This window comes from Homo sapiens, chromosome 8 (assembly GCF_000001405.40).
Source record: "Homo sapiens chromosome 8, GRCh38.p14 Primary Assembly".
Lineage (NCBI taxonomy): Eukaryota > Metazoa > Chordata > Mammalia > Primates > Hominidae > Homo > Homo sapiens.
Genome location: NC_000008.11, coordinates 71,531,995 through 71,544,475, shown reverse-complemented (window position 1 = coordinate 71,544,475; position 12,481 = coordinate 71,531,995). Strand labels below are relative to the sequence as shown.

The 12,481-nt window shown below is 37.5% G+C and overlaps 1 protein-coding gene across 16 annotated transcripts in view; it reads left to right on the top strand.

The window, feature by feature from the left end:
* Window positions 1–12,481, top strand: part of EYA1 (EYA transcriptional coactivator and phosphatase 1) — a 350,662-nt gene that overhangs the window by 3,619 nt on the left and 334,562 nt on the right. For 13 of the 16 annotated variants that reach the window (XM_047421528.1, NM_001370336.1, XM_011517484.4 and 10 more), the window contains exon 2: window positions 8,628–8,732. In XM_047421528.1, coding sequence (XP_047277484.1) covers window positions 8,722–8,732 — 11 coding nt within the window. In that variant the 5' untranslated portion in view covers window positions 8,628–8,721. Of the gene's footprint in view, window positions 1–8,627; window positions 8,733–12,481 lie in introns of those variants that run through there. The other 3 variants (XM_047421530.1, XM_047421525.1, XM_047421527.1) reach the window with 2 other exon arrangements.

The following is a 12,481-nucleotide window of genomic DNA, read 5'->3' as shown; positions in this document are numbered from 1 at the left end:
CTTTCCGGTGCTGGACTACGTGGCTTAACAAACTTGTCCAGAGCTGGAAGGTTAGTCTTTCAGAAGCTTTCAGGAGGTGAGTTTCTGTTCCCAGAAGTATTCATGCAGAAGCAGATTGGCTATCTGCCAAGGATGTTTCGGATGATTCCTGCCCTAGATAGAAATTTGAATTCCCTGACTTCCTTCTGTGACCCCATCACAACATCCTTTGCCATGTATATTTCTATCACCTTATACCACCCATTAACTCTTTTCTCATAGTATTGAGGGGAGACCGATTTCTTGAACCTTTCTAGCTTTGCTCTAATATGAGTTGCCCTTTGGTTTTAAGGAAAGGAAAGAGTGAAAGTCAAAGAAACCCTGAGTCAGTGCCTCTTTTCTGACAGCTTAATGATTTCTCCATTACTGTCTTTTTATTTTTCTTTTTTTGGCCCCTGAGACTGCAGTCCTGCAGTCTGATTCCATCAGGCAATCCTTACTCTGGTCAAGAAGCAATGAAAAGTAAGAGTCAGCATCCAGGAAATGAGGGAACTGCTTTGCTAAACTTGAGTTGTGGTTGTCACAGGTTGGAGATGGGTGTTGGAGTAGAGCAGGAGGGCATTTATTTTCTCATTCCTGATTAAATACTAAAAAAATTAATGCTGTGGGATCATATCAATTACTGACATATCAATTGAATCTTAATATTAAAGAACATTATATGTTTCCTAATCCTCATCTCTTAAAGCAAGGATATGTTTTTCAGCCCCTTCTTCATTTCTACACCTAAAAATGAATATTGTTGGATGTTGAACTATATAATTTACTCAAGTAGGAATAAATCTCACCTGCATTTGAGAGGGATATTGGTGGATAAACAGCTAAAAAGAGATCAGCACTAACATCATGTTTAATTTAGAGGGGCAAAGGCTAGATATTATACCCAGTGAAGAAGGCAGTCACCATCTATCAGAAACTAAACTATAGTTTCTTACCTCCTTGATGGTACTGGGAAAAAAAGGTTGATAATTTTAGGAATGTAAGTCGTGGCATATTTTTAAAACTCAACTTTGTTAAGCTTACAGCTCAATGAATTTTGACAATCATGTACACCCATGTAAACACTACCCTTGAGATACAGTACACTTTCAATACCCCAAAAAGTTCCCTCAGGCCACTCTGCAGTTCATCACCCCCCAACCTCTGCTCCAGGTAACCACTGTTTGCTTTCCATCATGGACAAGTTGTTGTGGTATATTTTTAACATATTAGGAGGTGTTTGGTGGTAGATCTTTCTAGATAAAAGTAAAGGATAAATGTAAAACCCAAAACTATAAAAACCCTGGAAGACAACCTAGGCAACACCATTCTGGACATATGAAGGGGCAAAGATTTCATGAGGAAGACACCAAAAGCAATTGCAACAAAAGCAACAAGTGGGATCTAGAGAGCTTCTGCACAGCAAAGGAAACTGTCAACAGAGTGAACAGACAATCTACAGAATGGGAAAAAAATGTCTGCAAACTATGAATCTGACAAAAGTCTAATATCCAGCATCTATAAGGAACTTAAACAAATTTACAAGAAAAAAAACCCCATTAAAAAGTGGGCAAAGGACATGAACAGACACTTTCCAAAGACATACATGTAGCCAAAAATCATATGAAGAAAAGCTCAACATCATTGATCATTAGAGAAATGCAAGTCAAAACCACAATGAGATACCATCTCATACCAGTCAGATGGTTATTATTAAAAAGTCAGAAAATAACGAATGCTGGTGAGGTTGCAGAGAAAAAGGAATGCTTATACTCTGTAGGTGGGAATATAAATGAGTTCAACCATTGTGGAAGACAGTGTGGCAATTCCTCAAAGACTGAAAAACAGAAATACCATTTGACCCAGGAATCCCATTACTGGGAATATACCCAAGAGAATGTAAATCGTTCTATTTTAAAGACACATGCACGTGTATGTTCAGTGCAGCACTATTTACAATAGCAAAGACATGAAATCAACATAAATTCCCATCAGTGGTAGACTGGATAAAGAAAATGTGATACATATACACCTTGGAATACTATGCAGCCAAGAAAAGAATAAGGTCACATCCTTTGCAATATAATGGAGCTGGAGGCCATTATACTTAGCAAACTAAGGCAGAAACAGAAAACCAAATAGTGCATGTTCTCACTTGTAAGTGGGTGCTGAATGATAAGAACACATGGATACATAAAGGGGAACAACACACCCTGGAGTCTATCGGAGGGTGAAGGGTGGTAGGAGAGAGAAGATCAGGAAAAATGACTGATGGGTACTAGGCTTAATACCTAGGTGATGAAATAAGTACAACAAACCCCCATGACACAGATTTACCTATATAACAAACCTGCACATATAGCCCTAAATTTAAAGTTTAAAAAAGTAAAGGAGTAGATATTTTGTATCTCTTCTCCTTTTGAATAAAGTAAGAAAATTCATCATTTAGGTGTAGTCATTAATTTGGACAGCAAAAATAATAACTGAGTGGAGCCAGTTTTGTTTGCTGCCAGTTGTTTGCAGCTTGTTATTTTAAAACTGATCCTGTAGACTTAGTAGGCTGAGAAGCTGTTTCTGTGATATATTGTATCAAAACAACGTTTGAAGAAGACTAGCAATGCCCTAAATTCAGTGCATGCAGCAGAATCAATATATCACCCTAGTAAAATTGCAAAGCTTCCTATGTGCAATTAGATTATGTTTTAAATGATTTTCTTTTGATTGCCTGAATTTCCTCGTTACAAACAGGCTTTATAGGACTGTGGTTCTCAAGCTGTGTACATACCACTTTCTCAAATCCCTTATGGGTGTGCCATCAATCATAATCAATTGTCACTTATTTAGAGTTTTCTTAATGTTGTTCACATAGTAAGTACTATATTAAAATAATTTGTAGGTTTAATGTTCTTGAAAATATAGATTGAATTCAATTTTCCTTACCAAATAAGCATGTCATCATTCTAATTAGCATCAGTTCATTTGACTTTCTACTTGCCTTGCATTTTTCATCTGAAGTTAGAAGGAAGTCACATATGGTAGAAGCAGAAATTTGATCATATTTACTTTGATGCCTGTCTATTCTTTATAAACAGGCTTCATCCTTAAAACTTTAAATCAGCAGTACCAGTAAATGAGTGGAAAACCTATAAAAAGGTATTGGTGTATACATTTACTTCTGTAGAAACCACATCTACAACTAAGACTTTCACCAAGGTAGAGACCAACTTGTTTTTCATTAACATCTTCAGTGGTTGGGATATACCCCTTTTCACTGTTTGAAAGACTGATGAGTATATGGTTTCTGAGTCTGACTCATCTGAGTACACCCAATCTCTGTTTCTTTGATATAACCAAATTCCTTAGGAAGGCAAAGAAAGCACAGAAGAGGTGACAGACATGGCACCTTGTGGCTTCTGGAGCCATGAAGTAGTGAGTTGAGTAGGGCTCTGGAGGTCATTTATCCAACGGTTCATTTCACTGCAGGCTTCTGTTTGTAAATTTTCTTAGAAACCCCTTGATTTGATATGTTTATTCAATCTGCAGTTGTAGTCTTCTGGGGACTTATTTCAGAATAGCCCTTTTCTTTTCTGTAAAGCAATGTTCAGTCACTAGTTTCCTTCTGCTTCTCAGGAATGTTAGAAAACTCAACACTTGGTGAGAAGGCAAAGAGTAAAGTGATGGTGTGTTGTAATGAAAATATTCTTTCATCCAAGGAGCCACAAGTTATTTCCAGTATCTGATGGGTCTCTGGTTCATTAGAGATGAAAAATATGGCATCCAAAATATAACCCATTTTTCAAAATCAGCAGGAAAAATTAAAATACATGTCATGTATGAAATAAAAAATAAATATTGTTTTCTTCCCAAGCATATTACCTCCCACTCCCAGACCCACCCTATTTTTCTTCAACCTGGGAAGTCTGTCCCCATGGCCTGCCTGGCTTGACCCTTTCTCTGTCTGCTTCATGTCACCATAATCTACACTTTTTCCAACTTTTCTTCTCCCAATCTTTTGTTCTAAAAATAGCCAGGATGTTTGTGATGAGCTAGAACTAAAATAATAATAAGATAAGGTTTACCTGTACAATGGGGTGCTATTGCTTATTTTGTCAATTGCCTGGCTTTAGCTGATGGAGAGAATAAGAATGATGGGTCTGTATAGAGTGAATATGGATTTAACTGAACCTGGGAAAACTTTAAGCTCAGATCTCTTGCATATTTTTTTTCTTTTCTAAGGAGTAGGGGTTGTTTGTAGAATTGGGAAGAAAGATTGGCAGCCCAGGGAGAGTTTAAATTATGGCAGGAATGCACAGAATAGATTTTTTTTTATTTTATGTACTTTAAAGTTTCTGTGTTTAAAGCTATTCTGTATTTTGAAAATTAATAGGCTTATGGATTGCAATAGGGCATAAAATATCACTTCCAAATATGCACCTCTGAACTCTTAGCAGTATAATTACAATGTCATCACCAGTGGCCCAACTTCCCAAGGCTTCTGGGCTCCCAAGGGGGATTTTATATGTTTGCAAATGTTTGTCAGATTATAGTCTCAATTTAATGTTTTCTGCAGAGTCTGTTAGATCAGTACCTAAATCTAACATTTATTGCCATAGTTTATTTGCTAGGATGTGTACACTGATTTCAACTCCTTTCCACTCCACTCTCCCTAGAGTGGCAAATATAAGACACTTCCTAAAACTTCCATTATTCCTGTATCAGGTGAGGCTACCTAACAAAATTAGCTTTTCATTAACAGTCCAAAATCTTGCTTTCTAAAGCATCCCCTTCATTCATGGTCAGCAAAGACCATGACTGAGTTCTCCTCCACCACTTTCCTTAGCTGGGTTTCTTTGAGGGTAGGACTGAAGAAGGCATAGTTCCCTAAGGTGTTCGAAAGATCAATTCAAATGTGGCCATCACTCCTGTTTCCTTGTTGTCTGGGAGGCCTTCTGCTGTTCCTCATGCCACCTGCCCATTCTGCTCAGCAACAGATGCCCATGCAAGCATCTGGCTTGGTACTGTGAATGTCAGTCAGGCGCTCTACCACCTGGAGCTGTGGGTGCCCCTACCCTGTCTCCTGTGTGTTGTGGTGGCCTTGGAAGGGGCTGCATGCCACTCTCTGCTCTTCTTAGATGGTCTCATACAGCTACAAAATATGGAGAGTCAGGCTATCATTAAATGCATCTCCAGCCTAACACTATGCAGCTTTTTCTCAATTTTTTTTTTGGTTGACCCTTTTTTTCTACTTAAGGAGTTGATGCAGTACATTTCAGGAAGAGGCTTTTCCTCTATGCTTAGGGTGAATAGCTAACCCAGAATGTTAGACTTGGTAGACAGGGCCCTAGATGCCTCTTAGTCCTTGTCTTTTTATGAAGGAAAATTTCACTTCAGGGGTGAATAGAAGGGTAGGATTCCACTGTGTACAACTCCAAGGGGCACCCCTCCTCTGGAGGGCACCATCATAATTGACTCAAAAGTGCGTAAATAAAGGATTTGGCCATTTAGGGTAGATGCACAAGTGAGTGATTAACCCAGTTCCCTGCTTTTACAAGGTGTTGGGGATGGTTGGTAATGGCCACCACACTTATGGCACCTGTCTGTAGGGACACCTCTGACACCAAGGCACCTGCCTCTGGTACTCCACACATCTCCCCAAACAAATGTCATTCCACTAATCCTCCATCAGTGTTTCCCCCTAATCTATACCTAGATTAGCCTACCTGGATAGTCTTCTACTCCTTTTCTAGAAACCACTCCTAGGTTTATACAAAGCCTCTAAGAAGTTCACCTCTAAGTTCACCTCTATATATGTTTATATGTAGGTCTGTACAGTTTTGTGACTAGTTGCTCTCTATGTGTGTAGATAGGCAGGCAAGTAGGTGGATAGGTAAACATCAAGTCACCAGTTTTGCTTAAGCCTGTTTCTTAGGATATTTGAAATAAAGCTCAGGACCAGAAATTTTGTGGATGCTTTCTAGTTGATTGAATGATAGCACCACCATTTAACTGTCTACTTAATTCTAGCTCAGAGTTTACAAGTATTCAAAAGTTGTATCAACAACATTCATTCATTTATTCATTTTATTCATTCATTCAAAATATTTAATTAGTGCCATATGTGACTAGAACCAGAGAGTAAGGCATGGTTCTGTCTCTCTTGGAGCTACAGTCTAGCGGGGGAGACAGGTAGAGAAATAATTGCAATTCCACTAGATGAGTGCTATAATGGAGACAGGCTTATTTATAAACCATGAAAGATCAAGTCCAGCAAGGGAATTAAAGGTTTACCAGAGCCAGGCTCCTAAATATCAGTAGACCCAGTCATGTCATATATTTCATGGTTTGGATTGACATGTAGAAATCTGGAAACAACTATACTGATTTAGCAAGCACTGGAGGATTTGTAAATAAAGTCCACGGCTCGCTGTGATTTTTTGATTTTTGAGTGGTAGTCTTTTTACTGGAGGCATCTACCTGAAGTCGATGAATGCTGACTGTTTTGACTTCTCAATAATCTGTCTTTTCTTTTTAGCCCAGGAAACAATAACAAACATGAAATTTAGTACAGAATAGTTTCATCTTCAGCAGAAATAAAATTACAAATGAAATACCTTTCATGCTCATGTAACTTGACCATTCTTAATACCTTAAACTGTTCAGTAAGTTCAATATGGAAATATGGGAAAGAAACACATGGAAAATAATCCTGGAATATCAAATATACAGATTTTGATTGAAACGTGTTCACAAGACAGGTATGGAAAGGATGGGAATTTATGGGAAATCAGAGGGGGCTTTGTCTTAGACCTGCTCCCTTCTGTGAGGAATGAGACTGGGCTTTGTCTTACCTCTTATAGGTACACTGTGGGCAATTTGTGTGAAAGCACTTGGTAAACTGTAAAGCATTTTACCAATGTAAGGCAGGATTATTATCATTATTTTAAAATCCCACCTTGGTGCCTGGAACAGTTAATGTGCCTCCTAAGAGTAACTTAAGCAATGAAAACAGTCTAGGATATTCTGTAGTATCTCTTCCCTAATTATGCAAGGAATCCTCTAAAAGCAATGCTGTTGAGTTTTAAGATTCTGTTCTGCAGTTGAGTACAATTCAAAATAAAGTGTTATATTTTCTTGGTGTGACATAGCATGAATACATTCATATGATTTTTATTTACTCACAACTTGACATTATGAAATTGTTTCTTGTTAAAATTACAAAAACATAGTGCTTTAATATGGCTTGTCTAAATTTTAAGAATCTAGTTATTTATGTTTTATGTTGTCCAAAAAGCATCAACTTTATGTTGACAGTGGATTGGGCATACATTTGCAGCATTGATAATGTTGAGCAAAACAAACAAGTGACAATTCTCCTAAGACTTCAAAATTACTTCTTAAATAAACCATGCTTGGAATATTTTACCTGAAAATTATGTGTGAAATACATAGACTCATTACATTACAAAATATGAAATAGTTGTGTAAAATATAAAGCTGCAAGATATTCATTTAAAATTTCTCATTTTCCAGATTAGAGTACTAAGGTTCAGATAGCTTATGTTATTCACATGAGATCATTCAGCTGTTTAGTGGCAGAGTCAGAACCTGAATTGAAATCTCTTGACTTCCACTATAGTAGCTTTCCTAATATGTGAGCATGTAGAAATTCAAGTACTTTTATAAAAAGTGATACTGAAGTTACACTACTACATGTTCTCTGTTGTGTAATTTTATCGTGGTAATACTAAGATTGCATTTTACTCTTTTTGCTTAAAATTACATGTGCTGCATTAGTGTTTATGTGAGAGGTAGAATAATTGCTCAGTTGCCAAGCTCAAGCAAGAAAGCCTGAGAGTATCTTTTGAGTACCTCATTTGAGCATGAGCACAAAAATTAATTCTGAACATTAGGAAATTAGAATGGCATTTAAATTGCTATATTTTTTTTTGAAGATAGCTACATGTAGAATATATTTGAAAATACCACATTTACTGTCCATGTTTTGAAGCATCCCCCAAACCATTCTTCCTGAAGGTGTTGAGTCTGAAGGTGCAGACTTGATCATCCGTGAAACTGTGACCTAATGTAAACTTGCTAAGAAATAGTATAATAATATCCTTGCCCTAAGGGTAAAACACTCAACTCTAGCTTTTTCTCTTTCATCCTTGTTCAGACTACAATCATATTTCTTTGTTAGTATTTCCTCTTTGCATTGTGGTGCAGCTGACGTTGATAGATAGCACGGAGAAACTAAATTCAAAAAGAAAAAAAAAGAAGAGAAGAAAAAAAGCTCTTGTACTGCTGGCTCAAAAATAATGTGTGCGGAAGGATCTTTAGCTGCTCCCCCTGCCTCCCTACCATCCTTTCTTTCCTTGGGCTGCAGCTGCTGACAGCAGACACAACTGAGCTATAATTTGGCCACATTTGGCTCATGTAAATTGTGATAAACAGTGAGCCCATAATATTTATTTTAAAGACTCATTCAGTGAAGGTAAGTGTTCTTGACTTGTGTATACATGCTGGTAAATGGAAAGCTGCAGATGTGAAGGCCAGCTCTGAATTTCATGCCACACAATTAATACAGCTGTGTGATGCTCTGTTGTTCACAGGTGCAGGGGTGTTGGAACCCTTTGAAGAAGTGTGTAGCTAATAGCCCATACATAATTCAGAAGAAGTCTTCAATGGAAGACCCCCGGGGGATAAATGGACAGTCTGTAAGTAAACAGAATGTCAGTCCTAAGGAAAGAATTATTACTTTTAAAATCATCATGGCATTTTTATTGTAACCCGAGTATCTGGAAGATTGTCAAAAGCTCTGTACCAATGTACCAATTTTTAATGATTTTGAAGGTTATGAATTAAGTAGTACACTGTTTCATCAGCCTAACCTAATTTATATCTTTTCTCAGAGGTATCAGTTATCAAAAGTAGAGTCATACTGGAAAAACCTAACCTTTAGTATTATGTAATTATCCCAATATGCATAAGATAATTTTTAGGCTTACAGTTTCTTTGCCTCAGGGAAAGCATATATTTGCCTCTTAAAACTTAAATTAATGTCAATTTTTTGGATTCTTTTACATGTATTTGTTTTATGAATATACCTGTGTGTATGTGTCTTCAAAATAGGTTTTTAGTGAAGAAGTTTCACAGTTTGATGAACTCTTGAATGGGCTTTAAAATAAGAGAGACTTAGGTTATATTTTATTTGTTGATTTGTGAGCAGAAGAGAAAGGGTTCGCAGATTTTCTACAGGTTTGTATCAGGAAGAAAGAAAGCTACCTTTGGTTCATAAATGAATATTCCCAATTAGGGGTCATCTTACAAATAACCTTTGAGTTATTTAGAACTTGAATAATTCAATGAATTTTAATTTAAAAAAAAGCATATTTCAGTAAGTTAAAGTTGTTTTCTCGGAAAATTTCCATAGCAACATTTAGGGCAGCATCCATGACTTTACACTGTAAGTCCCCTGGTCAGATACAATGCTTTCAGACATGTGATTTCATAGCTCAGCTTTATTCACAGTAGAATTCTTTTTTTTTTTTTTTTTAGCTTTCATTTCTTTTTTAATATTTTGTTATTTAGTTTAAGTTCTGGGATACATGTGCAGAACGTGCAGGTTACATAAGTATATGTGCAACATGGTGGTTTGCTGCTCCTATTGACCCATCCTCTGAATTCCTTCCCCTCACCCCCAGCCCTGCAACAGGCCCTGGTGCATGTTGTTCCCCTCCCTGTGTCCATGTGTTCTCATTGTTCAGCTCCCACTTACGAGTGAGAACATGCAGTGTTTCGTTTTCTGTTCCTGTGCTAGTTGGCTGAGGATGATGGCTTCCAGCCTCATCCATGTCCCTGAAGCATGATCTTTAGTAACACTGTTGTGTTTCCTTTAAATGTATGTTTTACAAGACCTGTTGGTGTTATGCAATAAGCAGGAACTGCTATTGGATGGGAATTTTAATAACAAATGGTCAAGTGCTATGAAGGTATCTTCACAGTCACACTGTATGCAATTACAGAGTGTATTTTATGGATATTCTAAGTCAACTTGTGAGATAATTCACATAAAGCACTTTGAGATCACTTCGTATCATGTAGCTTTTACCCTAAACAGAAAACGAATTCAACCCATTTAATTCATTTGTTTGTTTGTTTAAACTCCTATGTTGGGTCTGTGATATTTGAATTTATTATGTTAAAATACTTTTGTAGCTCATATAAAATTAATGAAAAATAAACTCATTAATAACTTCTTACTGCCACCTTTTATGAACTCTGCTCCCTAGATGGAGGCAAGTTGATACACTGGAGAATCACCAACTAATTTAATAATATCTGCAAAGAAATACTGCCAATAATGTTTCTTTTGATACCTTGTATTATGCAAATTCTAATTTAAGACAGAAGATATTAAGTAAGATTTGAGACTAAAATAACAAATAGGTAAGAAATGTAAAGATTAAAAGAATTTATTTTGGCCATCATAATAAAAGATATATGAGAGGGCAATCTAATTGCATCTCATTTTGTCCTGTTTTTATTATGTGAGAGTGAAGCATTTTCAGTCTTGAAAGGTATTTGGCTATCTCAGAGGTACAGAACAAGGAAGGGGTATTTCTCATAGGCAAACACTGTGTGGCACTGATTGGAGAATCTGTGTCCTGGCAATTTGGCAGCTGACTGCTCAGCCAGGAGGTGTCACAATCTCTTCAGAGGCCTCGTGTGAGGACTTGGGTGAGCTCCTCGGGCTTCCTTTGGCTCTCAGGTTACTCCTTTGCTTTAGGAAGTGGGGGAGAGAGGCTCAAGATGGGAAGAGGACCTAGAACATAGCTAAAAACATTAAGGTAACTCAAGAATATAAAGAATTTAAAGGTGGTTGCGCTACTGTACTCTAGCCTGGGCGACACACCCAAGGCCCTGTCTCCTTAAGGAATTGAAAAGAGTCCTGGACCAGTATCCCAAGTGCTCACACTTCCAAATATGATTGAACATTCCCTTGCTCATCACATTCATCTTTCACAAGTTTATGTCACAAAAAGTTTCAGCCATATTTAGAGTAAATCCCTGTGCCCACTTCAACAGTTAACAGCATTTGGCCATTCTCATTCCATCTTCCCCCCACCTACTCGTCATACCACCACTGAAAGATTGCTGTTTTTCTTTACAGTTTTTTAAGATAAAATGTATATGGATTAAAAGGCACAAGTCTTAACTGCCCCATTGTGACAAATGGATGTAGCCGTGTAACCTACACCTTGTGTCATAAATTGGAAGAGCTCCATCTTCCCAGAAAGCCCTCTTGGACCCTTCACACTCAGTACTTCCCCAGTACTCATCCTCTCACCCCACAGGCAACCGCTGTTCTAATTGTTTCCACTTTGCATCAGTTTTGCCTGTTCTAAAAGTTCATGCAAATGGAATCCTCAGTGTGTTTCTGGCTTCTTTCACCTAGGACCATGTCTGTGAGAGTCATCAGTGATGTTGCACATGTCCGTAGGTTATTCTTTTTTATGGATGAGTTGTATCCATTGTGTCCATGATATATTCTTTTAAAAATATATTAAGTATATTCCAAATACTTCTCTGGGGACCTTGATTTTTGCATCTGTAAAATGAGAGAAGTAAAATCCATATAACCTAAGGTCCTTTCCAGCTTTATTATTTTGTACCTCTTTCTTACACTCTGTAGCCCTTTGCTCACAGAATTACACCTGCTAATGGTGCATTCTGGATTGTGCCTTTTCTAGTAAGGTTGAAATACTTGCCTCCCTACGCATATTTCTGATAGGAATCGGACCTTTGATCTTTTCAGAAAGATGATATTAAAGACAAAATAATACTTCTTGAAAGTTTTTTCACACAATGCTAGCTTACAAAGCATATTTGTAACTCTCAACATGTGCTATTATTAGTATAATATTATGAATCTTTATTGCTTTTGTAAACAACAATTCTTTCTCAAGTCTCAATGGTTCTTTCTCTACTACATAGATACATATGTGACAAGATCAAAAGAGAAGGTGGCGATGCCTCTTCATGTCTTTCTTTCAGCTCAGAGCTCTGGGCTGAGGAGGAGGCTGGCAATAGCTACCAGTGTAATTTTGGCTCCATGATGTCTGCAGAGCCTAGAGAGTCTCTCTCTCTGGGGGAAAGGCTAAGAGGAGCTTCCCTGTGCTTTCAGTGGATGGGAGGGTGGCAGTGCAGGGAAGCCCTTAAACAAGAGTGTGTTCATTCCAAGGGTGTGTGCATTCTTCATCTTGGTGCTGCCACTGTCATTGTGAGATTTGAAGCTAAAAATTCTGAGGGAACTGATGATACTTGAGGGAGGGGAAATAGCTAATCGTATGAACACTGAAAAGTGCAATATTCCTATCATGTAGCCTCATGACCCTAGCAGAGGTTTGGAAATGTGTCCATCCTATGATGAAAGACCATGGGCAGAGGTGAAGTTACTTCTTAT